The sequence below is a fragment of the Homo sapiens genome, chromosome 16 (genome assembly GCF_000001405.40).
Source record: "Homo sapiens chromosome 16, GRCh38.p14 Primary Assembly".
Classification (NCBI taxonomy): domain Eukaryota; kingdom Metazoa; phylum Chordata; class Mammalia; order Primates; family Hominidae; genus Homo; species Homo sapiens.
In genome coordinates this window covers 6,168,115-6,195,819 of record NC_000016.10, presented here as the reverse complement: position 1 = coordinate 6,195,819, position 27,705 = coordinate 6,168,115, and the positions used below count along the sequence as shown (strand labels likewise).

General features: G+C 41.2%; 1 protein-coding gene across 16 annotated transcripts in view, besides 1 other annotated feature; it reads right to left on the bottom strand.

Moving 5' to 3' along the window:
• The window catches only part of RBFOX1 (RNA binding fox-1 homolog 1), a 2,473,620-nt gene that overhangs the window by 1,517,521 nt on the left and 928,394 nt on the right, over positions 1 to 27,705 (bottom strand). The window lies entirely within an intron of this gene.
• Positions 18,768 to 19,552: an enhancer, noted in NCBI's record as "OCT4-NANOG hESC enhancer chr16:6226269-6227053 (GRCh37/hg19 assembly coordinates)". NCBI's record gives its function as "activates a minimal SCP1, AML or CMV promoter by ChIP-STARR-seq in naive H9 embryonic stem cells {active_cell/tissue: H9 hESC(naive)}" and the evidence as "EXISTENCE:reporter gene assay evidence [ECO:0000049][PMID:30033119]".

The following is a 27,705-nucleotide window of genomic DNA, read 5'->3' as shown; positions in this document are numbered from 1 at the left end:
CGTGACTCAAAGTAAGCATATTTTGGCATCCCTGCTCACCCCATGACCTCAGAGAGAGCACATATCCATTCTACAAACCTTTTTTTTTTTTTCTTTTTTAAAGACAGAGTTTCTCCCTTGTTTCCCAGGCTGGAGTGCAATGGTGCAATCTCGGCTCACTGCAACCTCCACCACCCGGGTTCAAGTGATTCTCCTGCCTCAGCCTCCCAAGTAGCTGGGACTACAGGCACGTGCCACCACGCCTGGCTAATTTTTTGTATTTTTAGTAGACATGGGGTTTCTCCATGTTGGTCAGGCTGGTCTCGAAATCCCGACCTCAGGTGATTGGCCCGCCTTGGCCTCTCAAAGTCCTGGAATTACAGGCATGAGCCACTGCGCCCGGCCCATTCTACAAACCTAACGAGCATCTACTAAAGGCCATAAATTTTTCTCAGTCCAGAAGACGGAAAGATACATAAACTCCTGATTGACTTTTAAGGAACGTGTGGTGGGAGCAACAAAAGTCAAGAGTTAAAATGGAGGCACAGCACAAATGCTATAATAAGACTGGCTTACAAGGCAAGATGGCGGACTCTAAACATTGCCAAGATGAAAGAAAACCTATAATGGGGATAAAAAGGCGGTAGGTAAGAAGGCATTTTATAAAGGAAAATATGTCGTATGATTAATACCTTTCTTAAGCCATCTGTTTGCTCCTGGGTATTTTACATCAGCATTTTGCAAAACTGTGAACCCTAACATCTTATGTTTCTCTGATTCCGTATCTGAAAGATTTGGGGGCAAGGAAAAACTGGCCTAGAGTAATGCAGACTTCATGAATTAAAAAAGAATGAACTAAAAGATTCATCACAGAGTAAGTTAAATAGGGTTGGTTTCCTAAAAATCTTGAAAACTATTCATATCTACTCACTCATTCATTCTAGTAGTCACTCAGATATTAAGCACCTAGTACACATGACATACCATATTAATCACTAAGGATAGAGATAAACATAAAGCTCTTGCCCTCAAGGGAAGGTACACGAAACGTAAAGTTGAAAATGGACAGATAAACAGTATTTACAATTATGCATCAAGATAGATGTATAGGGATAGAGTATTTGGAGTGCCCATGAATGTAAGAAACCCTAACCCAGAAAATGAGACAAAGAGCCAGTGGCACTCAGGGAAAGAATGCCTGGAGGAAGGCTGCCTCTGAATCGAGAGTTAGAAGATAAGTAGACATTTTCAGGCCAAGATAGTAGAAGGGAATGGGGTGGGTCCAGGGAGCAGCATACATAAAGACAGAGAAATGAGTACAGGCTCATTACGTGCACTGAACTGTAAATAGGCTGTTCTTGAAAGAGAGAAACAAGGAGTGTTCCTGAGAGCAGAGAGGAACAAGTCACGTTACTAAGCTTGGTCATAATCCTGAAAACACTTAAACAGGGGAAAGGCATGACCAAATTTTTATTTTCAAGCATGAGGGATTTGAAGGGGAAAGAGAAGAAATGCCAATTAGAAGCTCGTTGCAGCAGCCTGGGTGAGAGGTGAACTGGTCACAAAGAACAGTGAGAATAAGGCAAATGCTGGATTCTGTGGCTCTTCAGGAGGTAATGCAGGACCTCAGGTTGAGATGGGGGAGCTGCAGAGCCTGAACAACAAGTTTCTAAACTGAGGACCTGAGGGCCATCAACTGAGAGAGGATGAGGGAAGGAACGGTATGAAATGATGACCAGATGTGGAATTCCACTTACTTAGAATGTGTGAGTTCCAGGAAGACACATCCAAGAGGCAGTTAGTATACAGGAATGAGATTCTAGGCTTCATCAGCTTAGAGGCATGTTGTGTGAATTAGGTCACCCATGAGAAAACACAATGGAAAGCCAAGAGGCGGAGGTCAGAACCTTGGAGAGCAACTTCGCTTAGGTGTGAACACAGGAAGATGAGGCAATGCAAAAAGCCAGAAAACAATGAGGCAGAGACTCGGCAAGTTTACCAGGAGAATGAAGGAAGAACAGAGCTTTCAAAAGGAAGGAGGGATGTGCAGTGACAAACCCAGTGGGGAGGGTAAAACAGGAAAAGACCCAAAATACCCAAAGAAATGGGCAGTTTCAATGTGAGAATCAAGGTAAAAATCAGGCTGAAAAATGAAGGCTGAATACAATTCAAAATGTTTAGCATTTACTGCACACTCACTGCTGCCCAAGTCACTGAATGCTTTGCCTGTTTTATTGTGTTTATTCTTTATTTTTTAAAAGTAGCCCCTATTAGCATCTTTGCTTTGCCATTGATGAAACCGAGGTTCCCAGGGTTATGTGACTTGCTCTAGGTCACTTAGCCAGTAAATGATAATGTCTATCCAACTCTTGTCCTCCTAGAGTTCATTTCCTACTAACCTTCTCACTGAATTTTATATATATATATATATATATATATATATATATAGTATATATATATAATGTATATATATATATATATATAATGTATATATATGTAAAGAATATGGACACTGGGGCTGTGTCAAATTTCTTAACTCCCACGAAGAGATAATCTGATTGGCCAGCCCCATGCATGTCTCTCCTCAGTCTAATCAGCTGTTGCCAGCAAGGGGATTTTCAATCTGCTGCGAGAGTCCCCAGAGCCTTGGATGAGGTTTTCAAAGAACAGATAAGGACATAGGATGAACACATTGCCTCACCAACACGATTCATTTGCATTGAAATCACTAAATGTATTACAGAGTTAGAGATGAATCTTCGGGAGGTACGTCACAAACTGCTTTAATTATACATTTCTTCATGGAACAAAGATAAACATTCTCATTATTTCACAGCCATCAGATGAATGGGACTTTTTCAGGCTACCAGTTCCAACACACTGAGTTGGGACATTTAATTGAATTTCGACATAATATATCACTCAAAGAGTGCTTGTCTGTTATGAAATATTAGCTTTGGTGTTGCATCTTATGAGATGGATCTCAATAAAGATGCTTTTTATTAATGATAATAAACAATGTTTACGGAAATCTTTTAGTGCATGACAACCTGTGCTAAGCATTTCACATGCATAATCTTACTGACTCATCCCAACAACCTTATGAGGTCAGTACAATTATCATTGCTGATTTATAGATAACCAAACAGACACAGAGCGTCTAGAGCACATATTGAGAGTTACATGGTAGACTCAAGATATAAACTTGGATCTCCACCACCGTATCTCTGAAGTTTGCATACCATTTTCTATCATAAATTATAAGAAGATGCTTAGTGACCATCCTTATTAAAGCTGTCAGTTAAGAGATAGGTAAAACGGTGTGTGAGCTGTGCATGTGTATGGGGGTGTTGGGAGGAAGGAAGGGGAAAATGGAGAGGGAAGGAAGAAGAAATGAGGGAGGTAGAGGGGCTCAAATAAAGACAGTAAGAAGAGACAAAACTAGAACTAAGAATGACATTATTCATCTTATCTGCCGTTCCTTCAGAAGACAAAATGCCAAGCCCATCTCTACCTACTCATTAGCGAGCTACCAATGCCAATTTTGATGTGGCATGAGAACAAGCACAGCCACCCTACAGATAATAGGGTAGAATGCCCTCCCAACACCCAAGGACTGGTCCCGAGGGGTGTGCTGGGGAGATCTCGCTGCGTTAAATAGCACTGACATCTTCCAAACTAAATTGCGATGGGGAAGGAAACAGAATTAATAGTTATTGATACAGGGGAGAGAGCAGGAGGTAGCAGGAGGCAGATGCAGCTCATGCTGAATTCCTTAGTCCTGAAAATTATGCCTAGAAGTAACAGAAATGTTCTAATTCCATGACCTTCTTCCTCAATCTACTAGATGTAGTTCCATACCACTTTGTCCCAAGACATATTTACAGAATTCCAAGGCTGATACTAACCCCTTGGTTACTATGTCAGCTTAGCAGTGACATAATTGCAGAGATGATTCTCCCCCCTTCAAATCACGAGGTTTCTGTTAGGAAATCTAGTGCAAAATTCTGAAAATCAAGTCTCGATACCTGCATTCCAAGGAAAGCTCTGTGGTGAACTTCCATAAGATTTTCGGTAAGTCATAAACATTCTCTCTGCCATGAGTTTCCAGCTTGTTAAATAAGTCAAAACATCTTAAAAACTCCAAATCACCATAAAAAGGCAACAGAAATTGCCTTTTGGACCATGCAACAAAAAAATTACAGATTACTCTTGTTTTCTTACCCTTTCTCAGTTCTAGCAACTATATATTTCTCTATACGGTGCTAACTTTTTTTCTCTCCAATAAAGAATGCATTCAGTGGTATACTCATAACATTTGAGATACACGGCAGTTGTAAAGTGGGGCATGGTAAACATCACTTATCATGATAAATATCACTTCCTGTTGCACAGTACCATGTGACCACCCCCTAAATTCTCAAGAGTGACTCAAAGTCAAAATCTGGCCTCACTTGCCAGTGAAAGGACATGCCATCCCTCCCCTTCCTCTGGCAACAATTTCTGCTATAGGAGAAAGCTTACAAGGGTGGGTTATCATAATCACAGGCACTATGACAGGGAGAAGACAACATTCAGAACTCATTTATAGAACATTTTCAGGTAAAACACCGCTTGAAAATACTGCCCAGCCCAATAGCCAAGTTCAGCAATGGAGGCGACTGTAGTTTAACTCATGCCTGTATCAGATGAAGAAAAAAAAAAAAAAAAACCACAGACGCATTATTCAATCCAACCAAGCTGTCTGTCTAGAAGATGCTTCAGGACTGATTAATGACAGAAAGCAAAGAGGAACCACACAGACCTTGGCTGTCAAGGTCAAATGCACAAGCAGACAGAATCGGGAGAGGCTGGGAGGCTGCCCGATCTGGATTTAGACTGCCGGCCTCAAGTTTTGGCTGGAGCCCCCGGCGTGTTGTCATTCACTCTCACTTACAGTCACACCACACACAAGATGGAGAGGCATATGGTACATTTCTCCCAACTCGGTTTAAATGTGGGCTCTAATTTAAGCTTTAAACCTTTTAGAATTCTTTGCCAGCAAGATAAAATACATAAGCCATGATATTCTGAGCACCATATTTTGCTGCAATATGCCTGATAGCACGTGGTTCAATAATTTTAAGGGTGGGACCAACAGAGACTAAGTCAAGTGGCATCTCTGAGAGGGGAAATTGGTGGCTGTGTGTTCCCCAAAAGCAAAATGTTAGGCAAATAATAATAGTACCATCGACGATATATCAAGTGCTTATATGTTACAGGCAGTGCTGAAAGATTTAAGTCGATTTTTCTCATTCAACTTCATAACAATCCTATGGAGTAAGTCCTTTTATTATCCTAATTTTCTGAAATAATCAACACAGGATTAGAAAACTAAGTAGTTCATTCCATTCCAGGTTGCCTAGTCTGTTGCATAAAGCCAGGATTCAAACATAGGCTGTAGGACCCCGGATGCTACATACCTGACACTACATAATTCTGTTGATACTATATACAGAACAACGTCTATAGGACACATCCTAACATTACTACTTAGTGTTGGTTTGGATGTAATAACTTTGAACTCAACATCCCCAAACAAGACATGAAGCCAAAATGGAGTCATTCAAATAACTGCCCTTCATTCATTCATTGATTTAAATACTTATTGAACATCTACAGAATTTGAAGCACAGGAGTATGCACTAAGGACTTCATAAATACTATTTCGGTTTGAGGGTACTAATCAAAATAGTATTCCACTTTGAGCAAAAAATAATAAAACTGCACACCTGAATTCACACATATACAAACATAGATAACTTCACAAAATGTTTATCTCTTTCACTGAAATTTCAATCTAAGACCTCAAACTATGAAACTACTACAAGAAAACATTGGGGAAAATCTCCAGGACATTAGTCTGGGCAAAGATTTTCTTTAGCAATACCCCTCAAGCACAGGCAACCAAAGCAAACATGGACAATTGGGATCACATCAAGTGAAAAAGCTTCTACACAACAAAATATATGTTTAACCATGTGAAAAGACAAACCACAGAAAGGGAGAAAATATCCATGGAATAATTTTTTTAAAAAATATCATATATTACTTGTTTAGTGGAATGTACGAATTCTAGGAGTCAGAGTGTTCTAACCTCAACCACAACTGGAGAGAGACAACAGGTGAATTAAGACTCCAAATAAATGCAACCACCAGCTGTCCTTTATAGCTACTTCCAATAGCATCAGGTGATGAGTTAAAATGCCCCCAACAACGAGAGCAGGTGGGACAGCCACGTCCCTGTGGTTTGAGTGCTCCCGCACCTAAGCTATCTCCCAAACCTTCAGCAAGCTAACCAATGCATTTAACCCTTCTGAAAGAGCTAAATAGCAATTAGCCCCGGCAACCCAACAGTTCTCTGTCACTGTTGCAGCAAGCGACTCTGCATTAACAGCTGAGGAGTTTATGATGAGTTGGCAAAAAGAGACACCTGTGAACCAGCGCGCACTAGACTCTTGAATGCACTCCGGGAATGGCACTCAGTGTCCTGATGCGGACTCCAGGGCCCCCTTTCCAGTCCTTTGGTAAGCTCTCTGTATCTCCCTGTGCCATCAGCTTCATCCTCAATGCTTGTTATGTTTGATGTTGTAACATTTGCTATGAAAGCATTCATTGTAATATCCATCTGACAGCTGCTGGTAAGCAAAACAATTGCATGACAACAGATGGAAAATGGAACCATTTGGTGGTTTAGAATGGCACAGGTAATTTTCAGAGGTCATCTGAAACCACATAAAACATGGAAGACTTAGCATCTGTGCCCAGGTTCATAGAGGGTTAGATAAATAAACATGTTCAAATATTTCAGAATTGACTAGCTTCATCTTGCACTGCACTTGGAGTCTCATTTGGCACTGCAAAATTTCTTTCAACCTCTCTTATTACAGATCTCTTAATAAAAGAAAAGCAGACTGGTGTTTTAGTCCACTACTACTTTTGGCAATGCAAAACTGATACACCTGGCTAAAAATGAACTGTATGTGCTTCAAAGTATCAGCGGTAGGAAGGTTTGGGACATTTTCATTTGCATTTAAAGATGACACTGATACAGGTGCCCATTTACTGTGTTCCATTTTTTCGCCTCCACTTCATTCAGTGTAGTCTCATTACTTCCAAGATTTTTTCATTCACAGCTTTATACTTTTTAATTTAATTCCTGAAGTTGACAGCTCTCTGGTAGCTGGGAAACAAGGAGTTAGCAGAAAATGTAAGCAGAAACAAAATATATTGATTGTTATTTTGTTTTCCTCATAGCTGAAGGTTTCTGGTTTCATACACCTCTTTGCGTTGTCTGAAATAGACAATAACATCAGAGAAAGGTTGCCAGCCAGGTTTACGAACACTGTATTTTATGTTTAGCCTTTTTTTTTTTTTTTTTTTGGCTAAAACAAAATCAATAACAGCAGATAAATTTCTTCTCAAAGCTCTAATTGTTTCTTGGTCTTCTGGAGAAAATTTTTTTTTTTCTCATGGTAAAAACTTAGAAAAAATTGAAGGAAGCATGAAAATAAATCACTCAGTCTGCCTCCTTGAAACAGCCACTAGTTAATGTGTGGGTAGACGTAAACTATTGACCCTTGGATCACGCCAGTTTGAACTGAACAGGCTTACTTATATATGGATTTTTTATCCAACTGAGCATACATAGAAGATACAGTTTTCATGGGATGCAAAACTTACAAATATAGAGGGAAAACTTTTTGTATACGTGGATCCCACAAAGCCAGAATTTTGGTATTAGTGAGGATCCTTCGTGGACACTGAGGGATGAGTGTATACACATATACATACACACAGCACATGTGTGTTAAATAATTTCATGGCAAAATAAGAATAGTTGAGATTAAATACACACATTCATGTGCACACATATGCACGCACATGTGCAAAACAGTTAACACTGGTAACATTCTAAGGTTAACACATGTGCCAAACAGTTAACAATGGTCACATTCGTATCAGAGCCAGAGAGGAAAGCTGACTTTGCTCTGGGTGTCTGGCAAACGTTTGTTAATGTTATCCTAGCCTGCCCCTCCGTCTCCCACTCTCTACATCCCACTTTGCCATCAAATCCAAGCAGTTACCAAGTAAGGTGCATTTTTCCTTCTAAATTTTGATTAAAACTACCTACTTGCTCAGTTCCCACTGGAACCACCTGTATCCTGATCTCCAGCCTGGATTAATATGAAAATCTCCTAACTGATATCCTTGGTTCCAGCTGGGTCTTCTCCAATCTGTTTTCCAGAGACACCTTACACAATACTTGTGAGAGCTAGTTATTTTTGGTTACAGTAATTCTTAAATTCCCCATCATTAGAAAAGCTTAGAAAATGCTGAGCTGTCTGACTTCCGCCTAAATTCCCAATCTTTTATCCCTGTTATCTCTGCCCTGACCCTTCCTCTAGTTTCTCAGCCTCGTCACATCTAGGGGTGTTGTGCATGCTGTTATCACCTTAGCTTAAAATATCCCTCCTCTACTCTTTCCTCCTCTCATGGCTTAGACCAAAGCATCTCTCCAAGAAAACATCGATCGTCATCCCAACTCACTTCCCTAGAAGGCAGAATGCTTTCTATGACCTGATACAGGTCATCCAAAGGGTTCCTGTTTCCCCCATGAAAGCATCAGGGCTTTGTATGATAGGGCCAAGCATGACAATAACTTTCTAACTATACATCTACGATAAAAGTGTCTCTCTGATATAGTGTTGCATCCCCTCTACTGGTCCATGATAACTGATGCTCAAAAACATGCCAAATGGATATCAAATCATTACAGTTCAACAGTATCACTGACTAGATACACAGATAAATATACCCAAATAAAGAGATCAATGGAGCTTCAGAAACATCCAATGACTTGTGAGGATCTTGAACCACGAGAGTATTGAGCGAAGATTAGATTTCTCCCAACTCGGGGGCCTTTGTTCACCAGTGTGACCCTACATTCTCTGCATATTCTGCTATGCCCAATACTGCCCACATGGAGGATTGACCTCTTCTTCCATCTCCTTTTCACTCCCCATTGGCACCAATGTTGCCATGTTCACTGCTCCCCTCCTAGAGGCAAGGTCAACGTCATCTCCAGACATGCCCATTGCTATGGAGCTTCCATCTTGTTTCCTGACTTCAGTCTTTCCTCACACTAACCCATAATCCATCCAAATACAGCCTATGGCATGGTCCACACCAAGCCACACTCTCCCTATCTCTGCTTTCAACGTGAAGCTAGGGCAATGTCCAGTTCTTTTCCCTGACCTCACACTCCTCCCCGCCCCTCTCCTCACTATATCCATCTCCATTCTTAGTTATCTGTTTCTGCAGTCTACTCTCTAACCAAGCAAGTATCTTTACAGACCCTTATGAACAATGTATTCATTCTTGTGCTCACACCTCGGCATGGAACATTCCCCATATGCAGATGATCCTCTCTATTTATCTTTACTAATTCATAACCTCTCCTTCTTCAAACTCACTCCAAATTCCCTTGCACAGAAAAATCATCCCCTGGAACAACACTCTAACCCAGAGTCATCAGTTGTATATTTCTTCATGAATCAGTCTATAAATGACTGAGTTTTAGACTGATGATGACGAACCCAGGAGTTAAAAAAAGCACTTCACCACATTTGATTTTTTTGGCATTGTTTTGTTGAGTTTACAGATCACAGCCAAAAAAATGAATTCATATACAGATATAATCATGTCAGAAAAAAATATTTTTCAAATCCTCTGGACAATCCTCCTACTTCCGTTGCAAGAAACACACATCCAAGGAGAATAGAGAAATAATAATGCCACAGCAGTACAAGATTGACTTTAAGTCATAGCTATTTAGGTAAGAAAGAAGATGTGGGTCTGCCTGTCCTTAGCTCTAAGGAGGGTAACACACCCTGTTGCTATGCTCTGAAAGGTTCCTGTCTTCCTTCTTCTTTAGGATGTCAAGGAAAGAAGATCCAACTCTCCTCCTGTCTCCTACTCTCACGCTCATCAACCATGTCATTATCACAGACTTTTAAAAAATTTAATGATTTACATGAAATTATAGTGTTTTAAGGAACAAGTCCACAGTCTTTCTCCAAGTTTTATTTCTTGTAAGAAAACAGACATTAACAATTTAGACCCACAAGTGTATAGGGGTGAAATATTATATTCTATTTAGCTATGAGGAATTTTTTAAATGCTCTGTGTACATTGGTACTTAAACCCACGCTGATCACCTTCCAAGCCCTTGTTTGCAAACACGATTTCATCGTGAACAAGGATGCAGTGGAAAGAGACAGGCTGGGGATAGGAAAGGAAAGCAAGGCTCTGGTTTGAGTTCTGCTATTGAATACTCAAGTGGCTTTAACCCCTCTGAACTTCGGTTTCTTCATTGTAAAATGGAGATAATCAGCTTATTGTCGGTATTGAACGCCTTGAAACAGGATAAGATCACCTCGAAGGTGGGCAGGAGGGAAGCCTTGTTGGAATGAATTCAAGAGAGAATGGAAGGAAAAGAAATTATAGCAAATATAGACAAGTTTTATTTCAGAGTTTTGTAAAGGAAATCAGAGAAAGAGAGTGACAGATGGAGAGGAAATAGAGTCACAGGGTAATTTTTTTAAATGTTGAATATATTAGAGCCTGTGCACATGGTGAAGGATGTGAGCTGGTCCTGTCTAAAGGTGTCTAATGCCATCCATAAGAAGGAAAGTCCTAAATCTATATCTCCATATCAAACCTCTTCCTTGTTCTACAGACGCACAGAGCTGTCTCCTTGACATCTCTCCTTGGAAATCCAATGGGCACCTCATGCCGAATTCACACAAGTGTAAACCTGCAATTCCTCTTCCTTCTTCTCTCTCTCTTTCCCTGAACAGCTGCTTCTCTTGCAATCCATCTTGGAACTAGCACTTCAATTTTCTGAATGCTCAAGCTTAAATTCCTGTAGTAGACCAGAAGCGGTGGCTCATGCCTATAATCCCAGCACTTTGGAAGGCTGAGGCGGGTGGATCACGAGGTCAAGAGATCAAGGCCATCCTGGCCAACATGGCGAAACCCCGTCTCTACTAAAAATACAAAAAAAAAAAAAATGAGCCAGGCATGGTGGCAGCCACCTGTAATCCCAGCTACTCGAGACGGTGAGGCAGGAGAATTGCTTGAACCCGGGAGGCGGAGGTTGCAGTGAACTGAGATCGCACCACTGCACTCCAGCCTGGGCAAAAGAGCGAGACTCTGTCTAAAATAATAAGAATAATAAAAATTCCCATAGTAAACACTGACCCCTCTCTCTCTTTCACATCTCACGTTCAAACCATTACCTAAGCATACGATCATATAGTCTTTGCTTTGGAAATATATCCAAACTCTGACCACTTCTCACACCTGCAAGTTCTGTTCCATTTACCACGACTTCTCACCCCCATGAGTGTAATGTCTCCTTCTGGATTCCCTGGTTCCATCCTTTCCCACACCTATTCTCCACCCAGCAGCCAGAGTATTTATTTTAAATGGGCATGATGTCATGTTGCTCATGTGCTCAACATCCTCTGATATGGTTTGGCTGTGTCCCCACCCAAATCTCATCTTGAACTGTAGTTCCCATAATTCCCATATGTTATGGGAGAAGCCGGATGGGAGGTAACTGAATCATGGGGGCAGTTTCCCCCATACTGTTTTCATGGTAGTGAATAACTCTCATGAGATAGGATGGTTTTATAAGGGGAAATCCCTTTCCTTTGTCTCTTTCTCTTGCCTGCCACCATGTAAAACATGCCTTTTGCCTTCTGGCACGATTGTGCGGTCTCCCCAGCCATGTGGAACTGGAAGTCCATTAAACCACTTTTTTCTTTATAAATGACCCACTCTCAGGTATGTCTTTACCAGCAGTGTGAAAATGGACTAATACATCCTCCAATGGCTTCTTTTCCTGCTCAAAGCTAAATCCCAGGTCCATACTATGACCTTCAAAGCCCTACATGCTCCAGTCCCCTCCTAGCTTCTACCCCAGCTAACACTCACCTCATGTGGTACCACTCTTGTCTCTTTTTCTCCCCTACCCCAGGCTCCAGCCACACTAAACTCCTTGCTGTGGATATGACAAGAAGTCTGCAGCCAGGTGTCTTTACACCGGCCGTTCCTTCTTTCTGATCTTCTAGACATCCACGTGAATCTTTTCCTCACCACCTCCATGTTTCTGCACAAATGTTACACATCAGAGATGTATTCCCAGACCCCTCTCTCATATATAACAGCATCCCTTACCCAATCGAACATATCCTATTCTCCTTACATTTATTTATTTATTTATTTATTTATTTATTTATTTATTTAATTTTTTTAGATGGAGCCTTGCTCTGTCACCCAGACTGGAGCACAATGGCGCGATCTCGGCTCACTGCAACCTCCACCTCCCGAGTTCAAGCTATTATCCTGCCTCAGCCTCCAGAGTAGCTGGGATTACAGGAGTATGGCACCGCACCTGGCTAATTTTTTGTATTTTTAGTAGAGACAGGGTTTCACCTTGTTACCCAGGATGGTCTCGATCTCCTGACCTCCTGATCTGCCCGCCTTGGCCTCCCAAAGTGCTGGGATTACAGGTGTAGGCCATTGAACCCAGCCCTCCTTACCTTTATTATTCTTCTTCATGGCGATTAATACATTGTTTTTAATACAAACATTGTATCCTCACATGCCACCTGACACCCAATAGAACACAAATTTCCTGAGAGAAAGATTTTTCTTCATGCTATATATTTAGTTTCTAAAAGACTGCCTGGAACTTAGTAAACACTCAAAAACATTTGTCAGTGAATTAATGTATATGATCTGACATTTCTGGGTTTCTTTTCATCCTTCGCCCCATACTACTAAATTAGTATAAACACATTTTAATGAAATACTGCATTACAAAGCTGATAAAAGTACATTAACAGGTTCATTCAACTCTTGAGAATGTGTTCTATTCTTCACAAGCTAAATATTTTCATTAAAAAAGAATTATGTAAAAATAGTACTATACTATATTCACATATGTTTCAGTAAGAGCATAAAGGATGTAAGTTAGAGGTACCCTATTTAACTACAGCGTTCCTAAATGTCCACAGGTGGTCAGAATATGCAATTTAATCAGCATTTGTTGCAAAAATATATTTTAAAACATATTTAAAATCACAATGTGTTATATAGGTTAAAATGAATTGAAACAACTATATGTCTAATAATAGGAGGAAGGGGTAAGTAAATATTAGACCAATTCAATACAAAGTTATGTGGCAATAAAAATAGTAATTACAATAAGAATGTAGACATATGAAGACTATGTGCGTGTTGGCAAACACAATAAAAAACAAATGCATATTAGCTGTTTGATTATATAAACGTACATCTGTAAAGAAAACATGCATACATTAATCTTAAACTGGTGGAATTAGGAATGATTCTTATTCTAAAGTGGCTGTGGTAGGTCGTATTATTTATGTCAATTAAGAAGCAACACTTTATGAAAGTGAGAGAGAACAGAGTAAAATTGGGGGAAAAAACTAAATTAGAAGCCAATAAATATTTCCAGTTCCTAATCTTCCAGTAACTTACTTAAAACAACACATCTTAAGTCATTCACGATTTCTGCATCCCAATTTTCTTTCCCAGAGAATAAGCTTAATAATGTGATAGGATCTCCAAAGAATGAGTGGCAAACAGAATGCACTATATTCACCAAATGTTTGCTTTTGTATTTTCCCTGGGCACACAGGAATACTACATTTCCCAGTCTTCCTTGTATTTTAGTGGGACCATGTGACTGAACTCTGGCTAATACAGTATGATCAGAAATGATATAAAATGCTTTCTGGAAACATCCTCCGTAATTGCCAATGATCTCGGCATCCCCATCGATGGAAACTGAGCCAAAATGTTGCAAGATGATATTGCCACGGCTGGAAGGAACCTACAACCAGAGAGAGACCCAATTCACATCAGACCATGATGAAAGGAAGAAATACATCTTAATTATACGGCATCACTGAGATTTTGTGGGTCAACTGCATGCACATAATGTTCTCCATACCCACTAATAGATGACAGGATCTTATCCTGTAGAACCATAGTGCTGTGGGTAAAGTTTGAGGAAAATCCCCAATGGCTTCACGTAAGACTTCTAATGTGAATATGTGGGGACCCTCCTCCCCCCCACCACAGGAATAGACTACGGTTACTGTTTTAAAACAAGTTTTCCCAATGCGTTGTGCCCTTTCCTGGCTAATAGGATGCAAGTTCACGTGAAAAATATTTGGGACTACCAGCTATGGCTGAGTGAGGAAGTCAGACATTCCTCTCTCCAAATAGCAATAATCCTTGTGGACAAAACTGACCCCCCCAAAATTTCAGCACTCTAAAAATCAACCAAAGAATTCCAATAATGTAACAAGTATTCACCAAAAATCGACTGGAGTTTAGGCAAGAACAGTGGGACTCTTTGGTATTCTAGATGAGGGCTTCATCCCTAGTTAACACAAAGGCTCTGCCTGGGTAGAGTAGGCTATGAGTACTGGCAGCTCAGTTGCCATGGTCCAAAAGGAGCTCATGTGTTTTCAGGTAGAAGGCCGTGACCATATCCAGCAGCATTATTGGTAGAAGTGATTATATTCTCAGTGATGGAAAACTGGAGAGAGCCAATGACTTTACCAGCCCATACATTTCAGATTAATCCTGAAGCAGTGTGCAGATGCAGAGGTGATACCAAAGGAACCAGTAGAGTCTAAATACTTGGAAAGATTTGAAAATGGCCTGAAATTTCAATGCACACCTCCACATACACACAAACCCATCAGTAGAGGACAGGAGACTTCTTAGTGCTCAAGGTGTCTGAACACAATCTTAGCTGATTTTTGGCTGGTCTTTAAGCTATATAGATAATATAAAAACTTTCAGAAATGAAGATTAAAAACAAAAGAGGCCAGGTGCAGTGGCTCACACCTGTAATCCCAGCATGTTGGGAGGCCGAGGCAGGTAGATTACTTGAGGTCAGGAGTTCGAGACCAGCCTGGCCAACCCGGTGAAACCCCATCTCTACTAAAAACACAAAAATTAGCTGGGTGTGGTGGCGGGTGCCTGTAATCCCAGCTACTCAGGAGGCTGAGGCAGGAGAATCACTTGAACCCAGGAGGTGGAGATTGCAGTGAGCCGAGATCGTAACACTGCACTCCAGCCTGGGTGACAAAGCGAAACTCCATCTCAAAAAAGAAAAAAGAAGAATGACAATAACAACAAAAATGAAACAGAGAGACGAGAATGACCAAGAAAAAAAAAAAGAAAACTCAAATTACCAAAATCAGAAATTAAAGAGGGGACATTACTACCAATTTTATAGAATAGAAAGGATTATAAGGGTATCTTATGGACAATTTTAGGCCAAAAATAATAGATAACCTAGATAAAATGAAAAAAATATTTCTGGAAAGACACAAACTACCAAAATTTCAAGAGGAAATAGAAAATCTGAATAAGCCTATACCAAGCAAAGAGAATGAATTAGTAGGCAAAAAAAACTTCACATAAAGAAAAACCCAGACCCCAGTGCCTCTACTGGTGAATTTTACCAAAATTTCAAAGAAGAATTATTACTAACACCTCGAAATACCTTCCAAAAGAATAGAAGAGGAAGAAATCTGAGACTACTGTTATCCTCATATCAAAACCAGACAAAAAATCAAAAGGAAAGAATACTGCAGATCTACATATTTTATAAATATAGATGCAAACATCTTCAAGAAGATACTGGCAAACCAAATGCAGCCACACATGGAAAAAACTTTAAACCCTGACATACACCATATGATCATCTCAACAGATGCAGAAAAAGAATTTGACAAAAGTCAAGACCCTTTCATGACAAAATACACCCTCACAACCGAGGAATAGAAAGAACTTCCTTAACTTTATAAAGGGCATCTACAAAATACTACAGCTGGTATCACACTAAATGGTGAAACCCAACTACGCTGCTCCCAAATTCTCAACCCACAGAAACTATGAAAGATAATGTGTTTTGATCTTGATACACTAAGTTTTGGCCTAATTTTCCTTATACCAATAGATGTATAAATATTAACAATAACAACAATAATAATAGGAAAGGGTGGGGAAAGAAGAGGAGAAGGAGAGGCAGCAGCAGGTGCTGTTGGGTGTTCTGGTTCTTGTTGCTGTAGGCATCCATGCTGATGGGATTGATAACACTAGTGGGCTGCGGACCACAGTCTCTGAGCCCAGTAGGGCTCCAAGCCAGGACTTCAGACTGTGAGATGAGGGTGATGCTACAGCCCAGCCCCCAGAAGATGATCTATGTTCAAGGCATCAGAGAGTCCCAACATGGGGTCAGGTCTCCAGTACTTCGAGTTTTTCTACGATCAGAATTATTCCTTTATACAGATAAACCTAGCTCTAAACATCAATCTCCCCACCTGCGGACACAGGTGATATGGGAGAGAGAACTGAGATCCAGCCTTCTAGAAAGTAAAGCTACCAAAAACAATACTTGTTCTTAAGAAATTGCCTACATCATCATCACAGAGCCTGGGACCCTCGGCGTTGGATAGTTAAAGGGAGAAGACAGCCCCACTGTCGTCTCCACTGCTCATCTCAAGCATGCAGGAGTTGCCCACAACTGCTTTAAGGGCTCCTTGTTATATTTGGGTTTCTAGATTTCTTTCCACATCCACCCTCCCTGTGGTAAGACAGCTGTTCTTCCAGTACCTTATCAAGATGTCTCACCTGAGTTCAGCCCATGATGGTCTCCAGATGGCTTGTTGAGTGGTATACAAATATTTTTTAAATCCTTCCCAATTGAGACAACTCATCTTCTAAGTAAGGAATTTTGGCCCCTAATTTGTTGTTGCTTTTGTCTTCCTTATATGAGAGTATTCAGCTATGGGAGCTGGTGGCTGTTTAGGACAGAAAATGCCAATCTGTATTTACTTCACCTTCATTTGCAAGTGAAAAACAGGCCCTTGCTAAAAAGATCAATTAAAGTGAGTTTTGAGAGTTACATAAGTAAACACAGATATTTTAATCCAGCCATGACAACTAGCTACATAAATACAAGTCTTGAAGAACGAGATGAGAAGGTAGACTAGATACCCTCTAGGATCATCCGGGCTCAAAGATTCTAGATTCAATAACCAAGGGATTAATACAAGAGTAACAGAACTAAACACATTCCTTCTTTTATATGGCTTTAAAAATATGCTCTCCTTCATAGTAAGCCATCAGTGATGGGAATTCTAAACACATTTTAGAAATGCTTAGTAAATAATTTCTGAGTCTACAGATATGGGCAGAAACAGGTAAACAAGAAAGAGTGACCTTATCCCAGCACTTTGGGAGGCTGAGGTGGGCAGATCACGAGGTCAGGAGTTTGAGTCCAGCCTGGTCAACATGGCAAAACCCCATCTATACTAAAAATACCAAAAAGTTAGGCATGGTGGCGCGTGCCTGTAATCCCAGCTACTTGGGAGGCTGAGGCAGGAGAATCACTTGAACCTGGGAGACAGAGGTTGCAGTGAACCGAGATCTCACCACTGTACTCCAGCCTGGGGAATAGAGCAACACTCTGTCTCCAAAAAAAAAAAAAAAAAAAAAAAAAAGAGTGACCTTTGGAAATATGGGCAAGGACACAGGCTGGTCCCCAGGTGTCCATGACCATAACCAAATATTCACACTACTCTTCCTTCTGTTGGTTAGGAAGCAATCATATTTTAGGGAAAAATAAAATCCTGAAACACTAATGTCTCAAAACAAAGTCAATTTAAAGTTATAAATTTAAAAATCAGAAAGTATCCAAAATGTTAAATGGCTCCATCTTCAGGATAAATGTGAAAAGGCTCTTTTTTTTTTTTTTTACCCCCACTGAAAATGCAGGAGCTATTTCAAGTTCTTCCTGAATTAGATGGATGTAGCTGTGGTCTCAAATCCCCGTGGCTCTAGCAACTGGAGCCGCACAATCAATTTTGCCTGTGAGCAGTGTCCACAATGAGTATGAAAGTCTCCTTAACCGACTGCGTGCTTGGGTGTACTCATTCGTAATTCTAACTCTCATGATATTCAAAATATCAGTGAGTAAAATCCTGCTTCCTTTCCAAGGGCACCTGTCAAGTCCTTCCACAAATGTTCATTTGAGCATCTTTATATCTTGCTGGGATGACAGTGAGGGGAAAAGGTCTTGTTTTCCGTTTTTCATAGAAGATGAAACAGGATAGAAATCCACTTTCTGACATGATTCTATAAAGGCAGTCACTGAACCTGAATACAATATATATTTGTTATGAAACAGTATGAAAATTATTAAGCCTTTCCATTCACATGATATGCACACCACCTCCTCTACCCCACAAATCATAAGCCAATAGTCAAATAAGAAAAAAATCAATGAAAGCTAGGGCTGGGAATTGCATTAAGTAAACTGATACATTATTACAGACTTCACTGGGAAGAGGAAATTGGGTGGAGGGCAAAGGGAGAAAGAAACAAGACAGGGCAGAAAAAGAAAAAGCTATTTATTTTAGACAGTGTATGAGTGGGATGGTGGCAGAGGGCAAGGAACACAGCTGCTTCTAGAAAGGAAAAAAAAAAAAAAAACAAACAAGAAATGAGATTTGGTTGTCTACTTCCATAATTAGCAAAGGAAATCCACACTTGGCAAAATCACCGGAACAACAAATAATCCAAAATATGGTATTCCTCAGTTTTTTAAATGACTATTACGTTGTTTTCAGTTGCTGAAATAAATGAATGGATGCAGACAGGAGCTGACATATCTCCACTTGGAATGGTTACCATCCATTTATTCAACGCCAACAACCAAGACAGGTTGAACCACTATGTCCAGGCACTGGGGTTGTCACAGTAAACAAAAACAGTTTTTGACCTGTTCTCACGGCAATCACAGCCTCCATGAATGCTTGCTGGAGGCAACTTAGGCTAGAAGCAAGCACTCCCCCAGTAAGGACACATGTACCCAAAAGACATTTAACACAATTCTCCACTTATTAAGAAAATTAAATACATGTTTATCTGGTTTTAGCTTGTAACCAATACAATATCTTGGTCAGATTGGAAAAGAAAAAAAAAAATGACCTAAGAATGGTTGTTAGCAAATAATAACAATAATACTCATAACAATAATTGTTATTACAACTGACATTTACTGCACCCTTACCATGTGTTAGACACCAGTCTTTTGGGATGCAAACATGGTATCATCAAATCTCCATCAAGACTCTTTGAAGTTTAAGTACCCTGATTGCCTCCTCTTACAATGAGAAGAAAGGAGGCACAGCAACTTTAACTAAATTCCTCAATCCTGAGGCTGGGCACAGTAGCTCATGCCTGTAATCCCAGCACTTTGGGAGGCTGAGGCGGGCGGATGACCTGAGGTCAGGAGTTTGAGACCAGCCTGGCCAACATGGCGAAACCCCATATCTACTAAAAAAAAAAAAAAAAAAAAAAAAATTTGGTCAGGCATGGCGGTGGGCACCTGTAATCCCAGCTACTCGGGAGGCTGAGGCAGGAGAATTACTTGAACTGGGGAGGCCGAGGTTGCAAGTGAGCCAAGATCACACCACTGCACTCCAACGTGGGTGACAGAGCAAGACTAGGTCTCAAATAAAAAATAAATAAATTACTAATGATGTGTAGTAATTTAGGGCTGGGATTAGAAACAGGCTCTCTGACTTAAGAAATTAAGCCCATCACTATGAAACCAATAGTTTTGCAGCCTGGTGGTCCATTAGCCTCCCCTGGAAAGCTTGTGGGAAAAAGAAATACCAATACCTAGGACTCATCTCCAAACCTTTGAAGTTAACATATCTGGGGGTGGAGTCCAAACAGCAGCTTTCTGAATTCTCCCAGGTGCTTCTAACAGGCAGTCAAGGTTGCAAACCTCTGCCTCAGGCTCTCCTCTCTCCTTACTGCACAATTGCTAACATTTCTGATTGTCCCCGTGTGGGTCCTCTTCTTATCACCAAGAGACTGCTCCCGAAAGTCTGGCTACTCAAAGTGCAGTCCACAGACCAGTACAACCAGCAGCAGCGGCACCAATGGGGAACCACTTAGAAATCCAGGATCTCAGGCCCCATGCCAGACTGAATCCAAATCTATATTTTACTCAGATCCCTATATGCACTTTAAATTCTAGTACTATCCTACAGCGTGCCCTTGAGAGGAAACACTAGTTCCTACAGCTATTACTAGGTGCTATGCACAACAAAAGCGCAACCATTACAACCACCTCTAAGCCCATCCTCTCGCCCCCACCCCCCCGACCTACAGAAAAACCGGGTGGTCAAACACATCTGGGACCAACTGGATTAAATAAAGCCAAAATTAGTGTCTCTACTCTGAGCTCTAGCAGAACGTGTAATGTTAACATACTAATGCGCATCATAAATCTCCAGGAGAAGAAATTTCCCAAATATTTATGACTGTGGTACCCTGTAACTCAGCACTCCTATTAACATCTTTTGTGGACAATGTGTTCCTAGGGACGTATTACGGAAAATGTTTATCCAAAGGAGACCATCCTTTTTCTTTCCCTCATGGCTACCTTTTTTCATAGTCAGGTTCTATTGCTTTGCTATTTGCTTATGAATATGAATATAAGCTGTAGTCACGGACTCACAGTAAGCCTTTAACAAGCATTTACTATGTATATGAGATATAGTTCTAAGTGCTTACACTGTGATAACTCATTTTATCTTTATAACAACTCTGGGAGATACGTATGGTTTCTATTACCACACTATGGTTAAAGAAACTGAGGAAGAGAGATGACTTAAGCACCTTGCTCAAGGTCACACAGCTAGTGAGCAGTGGATACAGGAGCTTAGCTCTGGCCATCTGCCACCAGAGCCTTCCTTTTAAGCAGTAGACTATTGGAAAGGGTGTCAAATGACCTCCCAACTATTCTCAAAGGCATCCTTAGATTGGCACATAGAGAAAGCTTAGCTGATCAGCCTGAACTTTTAGCCACAGGATGCAAAAGGAGCACAAATCCTAGCATATGCACTGAAGTTCACCATCCAGCATGAGACGTAGGTGCAGAACATCCAAATCATGTCTTGAAAAGAATGAAGAATCAGAGCAGATCTACAACACTGAAGTTCTTGTGCTGATATCCTAACTTTTATATTTTTCTTTTCTTTATTTTTTTATTTTTATTTTTATTTTTTGGAGATAGGCTCTCACTCTGTCACCCAGGCTGGAGTGCAGTGGCATGATCACAGCTCACTGAAGCCTCCACCTCCTGGGTTCAAGCGACTCTTGTGCCTCAGCCTCCCCAATAGTTGGGACTACAGGCACGCACCTCCATGCCCAGCTAACTTTTGTATTTTTAGTAAAGACGGGGTTTTGCCATGTTGGCCAGGCTAGTCTTGAACTCCTGGCCTCAGGTGATCTGCCCTCCTTGGCCTCCCAAAGTGTTCAGATGACAGGCATGAGCCACCGTGCCCGGCCCTAACTTTTGTATTCTCAACAGGAGACACACACTTTGCTTTCTGATGACAGCGCAACAGTGAGGACAATGAGGTATTGATCTTGCCTCCTCTCCACCACTCAGTCTGAAACCAAAAAACCAGCAAATTCGAGGAATAAAGGCAAAGTGTACCCAACATGACGCCGACTCATAGAAGTGCAAACCAAGTCAGACAGCTCCAGTAACCTGTTAAGTTGCCTCTCAACCACAGGGTGATGAACTCAAGGGAATAAAAAAGTATATGCAGTGTCTTGGGAGTCTGCTACTACAGAGTTGAGAATTTGGGTTATTTTCAAAGTTCTCCAAGGTTTCGAGATCACTGTGAAGGACTCTGTAACTTTAATGACTTCAAAAGGGACAGCTCTTTCCTCTGACTCATAATTAGTAAAAAAAACAAACAAACAAACAAACAAAACAGCACTTTGGGAGGCCAAGGCAGGCAGATCACTTCAGGCCAGGAGTTCAAGACCAGCCTGGCCAACATGGCAAAAACCCATCTCTACTGAAAATATAAAAATTAGCTGGGCATGGTGCCATACGCCTATAGCCCCAGCTACTCTGGAGGTTCAGGCGGGAGAATCACTTGAACCCGAGAGGCAGAGGTTGCAGTGAGCTGACATTGTGCCACTGCACTCCAGCCTGAGTGACAGAATGAGACTCTATCTCAAAAAAAAAAAAAAAAAAAAAAAGGGAGTGGTCAGTGTCCACTCCATACAATTCAATAGCTTTGTCTCCTGCCCCTGCAGCAGGAACAATCGATTTGGGTAGACAGGGAGTAAGCATCTAGAAACAATATCCACTGGTGAGTGGAGTGTGTGTGTGTCTATGTGTGCACATGCACACATGTGTGTTTGTAAATTTTCCTTTGAGTGATGCATATGACTGCAAATAACACGTAACACTAACCAAGGTCTCACCCATGTGCCAGGTATCCCACTAGGCACTTTAAAGACATTGGATCTCTTCAATAATCACCGTTAATTCCTATGGCAAATATTTGAGATCTGTTTTCCTGTCAAGCACTATTCTGGGTGTTGGCAGTCATAGTACACAGAACAATGCCTACCCCACCCCTCAGAAGTGTCCACGCCGCTGTAATCCTGGGAACCTGTGACTATGTTACCGTACATGGCAAAGGGACTTTGCAGATGAGACTAAGTTAAGGATCTTGAAATGGGAAAAATTAGTCTTAATTATCCAGGTGGGCCTAATATCATCGTATCAGTCCTTAAAATCTGAGAACCTTTTCTTGCTGTTACTATCAAAGAAATGCATGGAGAAGGGCTACATCCCTGGCTTCGAAGATGGAGAAAGGGGCCATGAGCTAAGGTCTGCAGGATGCCTCAGGAAGCTGGAAAAGGCTAAGATTCTCCACATCAGCCTCCAGAAAGGAGTGCAGCTCTGCCCGCACTGTGAGACTAGTGTCGAGTTCTGACCACTCAAACTGTAAAAGAATAAATCTGTGTTGTTGTATCCACCAAGTCTGCAGTAATCTGTTATAGCAGCAATAAAAAAATAAATGCAGCATTGGAAAACACAAAACCCTTCTGTCCTGCAGCTTACATTGTTTGTGATGTACTCTATATGTGTGATCCTGATTGTGAAGAATAGCAAACACATCTAGGAAGGTTAAACAATGTGATGAAGTTTCTACATTGAATAATCCAGAGGGACAGAACTTGAACTCAGGAAGTCCACCACTGAGGCTGCATCACATCCATTATTCTAGACTGTGCATCCTGAAGAGCTTACAGAGGACTTTCTACTGTAGGACATGAAGTTGAGGGGCACTACAGGGGGCCACAGGGGCAATTTTTGGTTGACAGCCAAGGAAGATGGGAAGTGATGGTTCTGCTCTCCAGACACCAAGGGTTTGCTCACAGGGATGGAACTGTAAACGAGAGATGAAGCAGAGGTTGGGCTTCAGAGCTCAGTTTCCTCTGTTTCCCTTACTCATTCCTGCTTTCCCTTCTTTCCCACCAGAGCAACTTGCAGAAGATGAGGACGTTGTATCTCCCCGCTGTCCGGGGCCCACTCTCCCTACACGATTGCAAGTGACATCTTAGCTCACAGGCTGCAAAGTGACACACTTGGCTGCAAGGCCTCATTCTCAGCACTGGTTTGTCCACCACCATGCAGTGTGACATCCTTGACCAATGATAAAAAAACAGCTAGCTGGGCTCGGTGGCTCATGCCTGTAATACCAGCACTTTGGGAGGCAGAGGCAGGCATATCATGAGGTCAGGAGATCGAGACTATCCTGCCTAACACAGTGAAACCCCATCTCTACTAAAAATACAAAAAATTACCCAAGCGTGGAGGCATGCACCTGTAATCCCAGCTACTCAGGAGGCTGAGGCAGGACAATCACTTGAACCCAGGAGGCAGAGGTCACAGTGAGCGGAAATCATGCCACTGCACTCCAACCTGGGTGACAGAGCGAGACTCTGTCTTAAAAGAATAAATAAATAAATAAATAAAATAAAAATAAGATAAAAACAGCCAAGTCACCCAGACCCTTTGGTTCACAATCACTCTTACTATTCATCTGAAGATGTATGCCGCTTTTCTGCTATTCCAAAGAATGGGTTTCTTTTTCAGGATGTCCACAAGTCACTTATGCTCTAGGCCAGGCTGGGACCTAAAATCCAGGTCTACTTTTAACCCTTGAAAATCCAGGTATGCTTTTTAACCCTCTAAGCATTATATCATATGTTCATGGCAAGACATTTGCAGAACCACTCCAAATCTAACTGCTGGTCCAACAAGCCAATGAGCCAAATATCCCACCAAACTCCAGGAATGTGTCTAAATTTCATCTTTTAGGCTGTGGCACTGTTGAGCTCTAGTTCTAGATTTGGCCAAAGGCTACCTTTGAGGCATTCTCTAAATCGAGTCTTGAACTCCTTATGCATTGAAAGTGGAAAGAATTGAGAACAACCTAAATGCTCAACAATAGGGGATGCATGAAAACCTGTTGTGGTGCGGCTGGACTACAAAACCTTGAAATTGGTGTTATAGATTGATATGTTGACATGGAAAATATTTACAAAATATGTAGAATCATCCCACATATGTTTTACCTGTTATACCTGCATATATAGACAAAGAAGGAGAGAGGGAAGAAGAGATCCTGACAAGCTCTACCTAAAAACAGAACTACCATTTGATCTAGCGATCCCATCACTGGGTATATACCCAGAAGAATTTAAATCATTCTATCATAAAGACACATGCATGCAAATGTTCACTGCAGCACTATTCACAATAGCAAAGACATGGCATCAACCTAAATGCCCATCAATCACAGACAAGATACAGAAAATGTGGTACATATATACCATGGAATACTATGCAACTACAAAAAAGAAAGACATCATGTCCTTTGCAGAGACCTGGATGGAGCTGGAGGCCATTATATTTAGCAAACTAAGGCAGGAACAGAAAACCAAATACCGCATGTTCTCACTAATAAACGGTACTAAAGAGAACACAGGGACACAGATAAGGAAACAAGAGACAGTGGGGCCTGCTTGAGGATAGAGGGTGGGAGGAGGGAGAGAAGCAGAAAAATAGCTATTGGGTACTAAGCTTAGTACTTGGGTGATGAAATAATTTGTACAACAAACCCCCGTGACACGGGTTTACCTAAATAAAAAAACTGCTTATGCACCCCTGAGCCTAAAATAAAAGTTTGAAAAAAAGCTCTACATCATAATTAATAGCACCATGAGTGTATTCTGACATTTATTTTATTTTTATTTTTTGCTTTGACATGGAATACAATCAACAAATGCTCATTTCACACTTATTACGCATAACAATGCATCCACGGGGCTCAGAGCAGAAGAGGAGCCCACAATTCCTTGGTGACTTTATTAATTCCCTCATTCAGCAGCTGTTTACTGCAGATTGATTACATGCTAAGAACTGTCAAAGGCATTGGAAAAAGAGCAGAGAGCAGGACAGACCAGGGTCTCGTAGGACTTAACACTACAGTGGAACCCAGCGGGTAAGAAAACAAACAAGCAAATGGCAAATACTGGACATGAACACGGCTTTCATAGTCTCTCATTACCTCATGGACTTCAACCTCTTCATGATACCCTTCCTCATGCCATAGCCTCACACATATAATTCAGCTGTGTTAAAGCAAACTAAATGTGGCCTGAGAAGGACTCCCCACTTCTATATTTGAGTCCTTGTGGACAAACCGCAACCTAACTTAATAGGTCGATAAGATCATGCCTGTAATCTAGCACTTTGGGAGGCCGAAGTGGGTGGATCGCTTAAGGTCAGGCATTTGAGACCAGCCTGGCCAACATGGTAAAACACCCTATCTACTAAAAAAAAATACAAAAACTAGTCAGGTGTGGTGGCGCATGCCTGTAATCCCAGCTACTTGGGAGGCTGAGGCCAGAGAATCACTTGAACCCAGGTGGCAGAGGTTGCAGTGAGCTGAGATTGCACCACTGCACTCCAGCCTGGGTGATAGAGGGAGACTCCACCTAAATAAATAAATAAGAAAACCTAACTTAGGAGCATGTGCCTGTAACAACAACTGAGTCTTGGCCAATCCTAGTGGCTGCACCTCAATCACTCATACACTGCTGAGTGTTGAAACTATGTTCAAATTAGGCAAACGCGGAGCTGTAACCAATCTAGCTCAGTTCTGTACCTCACTTCTAATTTCTGTACCTCATTTCCCTTTTTTTGTCTATACATCTTCCACCACGTGGCTGTGCTGGAGTCTCTCTGAATCTGCCCTGATTCTGGGGGCTGCCTGATTCAGGAATCGTTCATTGTTCAATTAACTCCTTTAAATTTAATTTGGCTGAAGCTTTTTTTTTCATCAGAAACCTCCTTCTCTATCTCAGCCTTCTAGGGACATAACCTCTCTGAACTCTTCCATGTATAAGAATTCAAATCCCGAAATTTTCTTTTCTCTCCACTCCTTCTCGTCTTTCCCCAACGTGATAACAAAGTGCATTAATCCTTAGTGGTCCATTAGACTCTCCAGGCCACATTTTATCTTTAACTTCCACATTTGCCGAGTTCTACTCTTGCTTTCAAGTTCCATCTACCAAGTCAATGACCCTAGAGCTAAAGGTCAGTGATCATGTTTTGCTTTACTCCAATGACCCCAAGATCAATGCAATCCCCTTGCTAATCTGCCTGGAGTCATCCCTTCTATCCATTTTTCTACAAATCCGAATGTGGCTAAACGAAGTGATAAACATGGTTTATATGACGCTCATTATGAAATGAGAAGGCCTGCTTTTCAGGCACTTTTGCCCAACTCTAAATTCATGCTGTAGCACCCCACGGCAATTCCAAAACTTCTCTGTTACAGAGACCTTCTTCCTACTCCTGACTCCCTGCTGGGATGCCTCAGCCATCTTCCCTGGACGAAAAACATCAAGGTCACTGGACCCCAGAGAGAATCCACTGGGAGAGTGTTTAAAAAAAAAAAAAGTAAAAAAGTGAAAGAACCAGTGAAAATGCAGAACACTGGGCAAAGTGAGATAGAACTCTTAGAGTTAAACACAACTCCTTCCAATATTAAACACACTTTGCAAAGAAAAGACCCCTTCCCTCCCCCAGGAGTGGCAGAGGTGAGAGAAAAAGCACAAAGTATTGCAGGTATCAGAAAGTTCTAAAGGTCTTAGCAGCGATCTTACTTCCAGAAAAATAAAAATATTGATTATCTGTTATCTGACGGGTCCTCTGATGGGTCATTTTTATACATAATCGGTAATGATCAAAACCCATTTTCAAGGTTGAATTGCTATAGGCTCATTGCAGATCATGAAACTGGAACCCAAGTTCAGAAGTCTGCATATAACCAACATCTTTGGGAGCCTGACTGTAATGTGAGCTTGCCTGGCTCTACGTAGAAGGAAGACATGACCTCTCCTTAAGCTGTTCATACTTAAGCTAGAGAAAGGAAAACAAGCACAAGTTGAAAACAGTTGTAATGGGAAATCCTCCAAAAAATCGCCCACTGGGGCCTGAAACCCTCCGCACCATGCACGATTTCTTCTTTCTTTCTCATGTGAACAGATTAAACTAATAGATTATGAGCATTATTCTTAAGCAACGTATATCAGGGTTGATGTGAGCCTGTTCTTGAAAGATAAGCCGCATATCAGCACTGAGGGAAAACGAATTAAAATGCA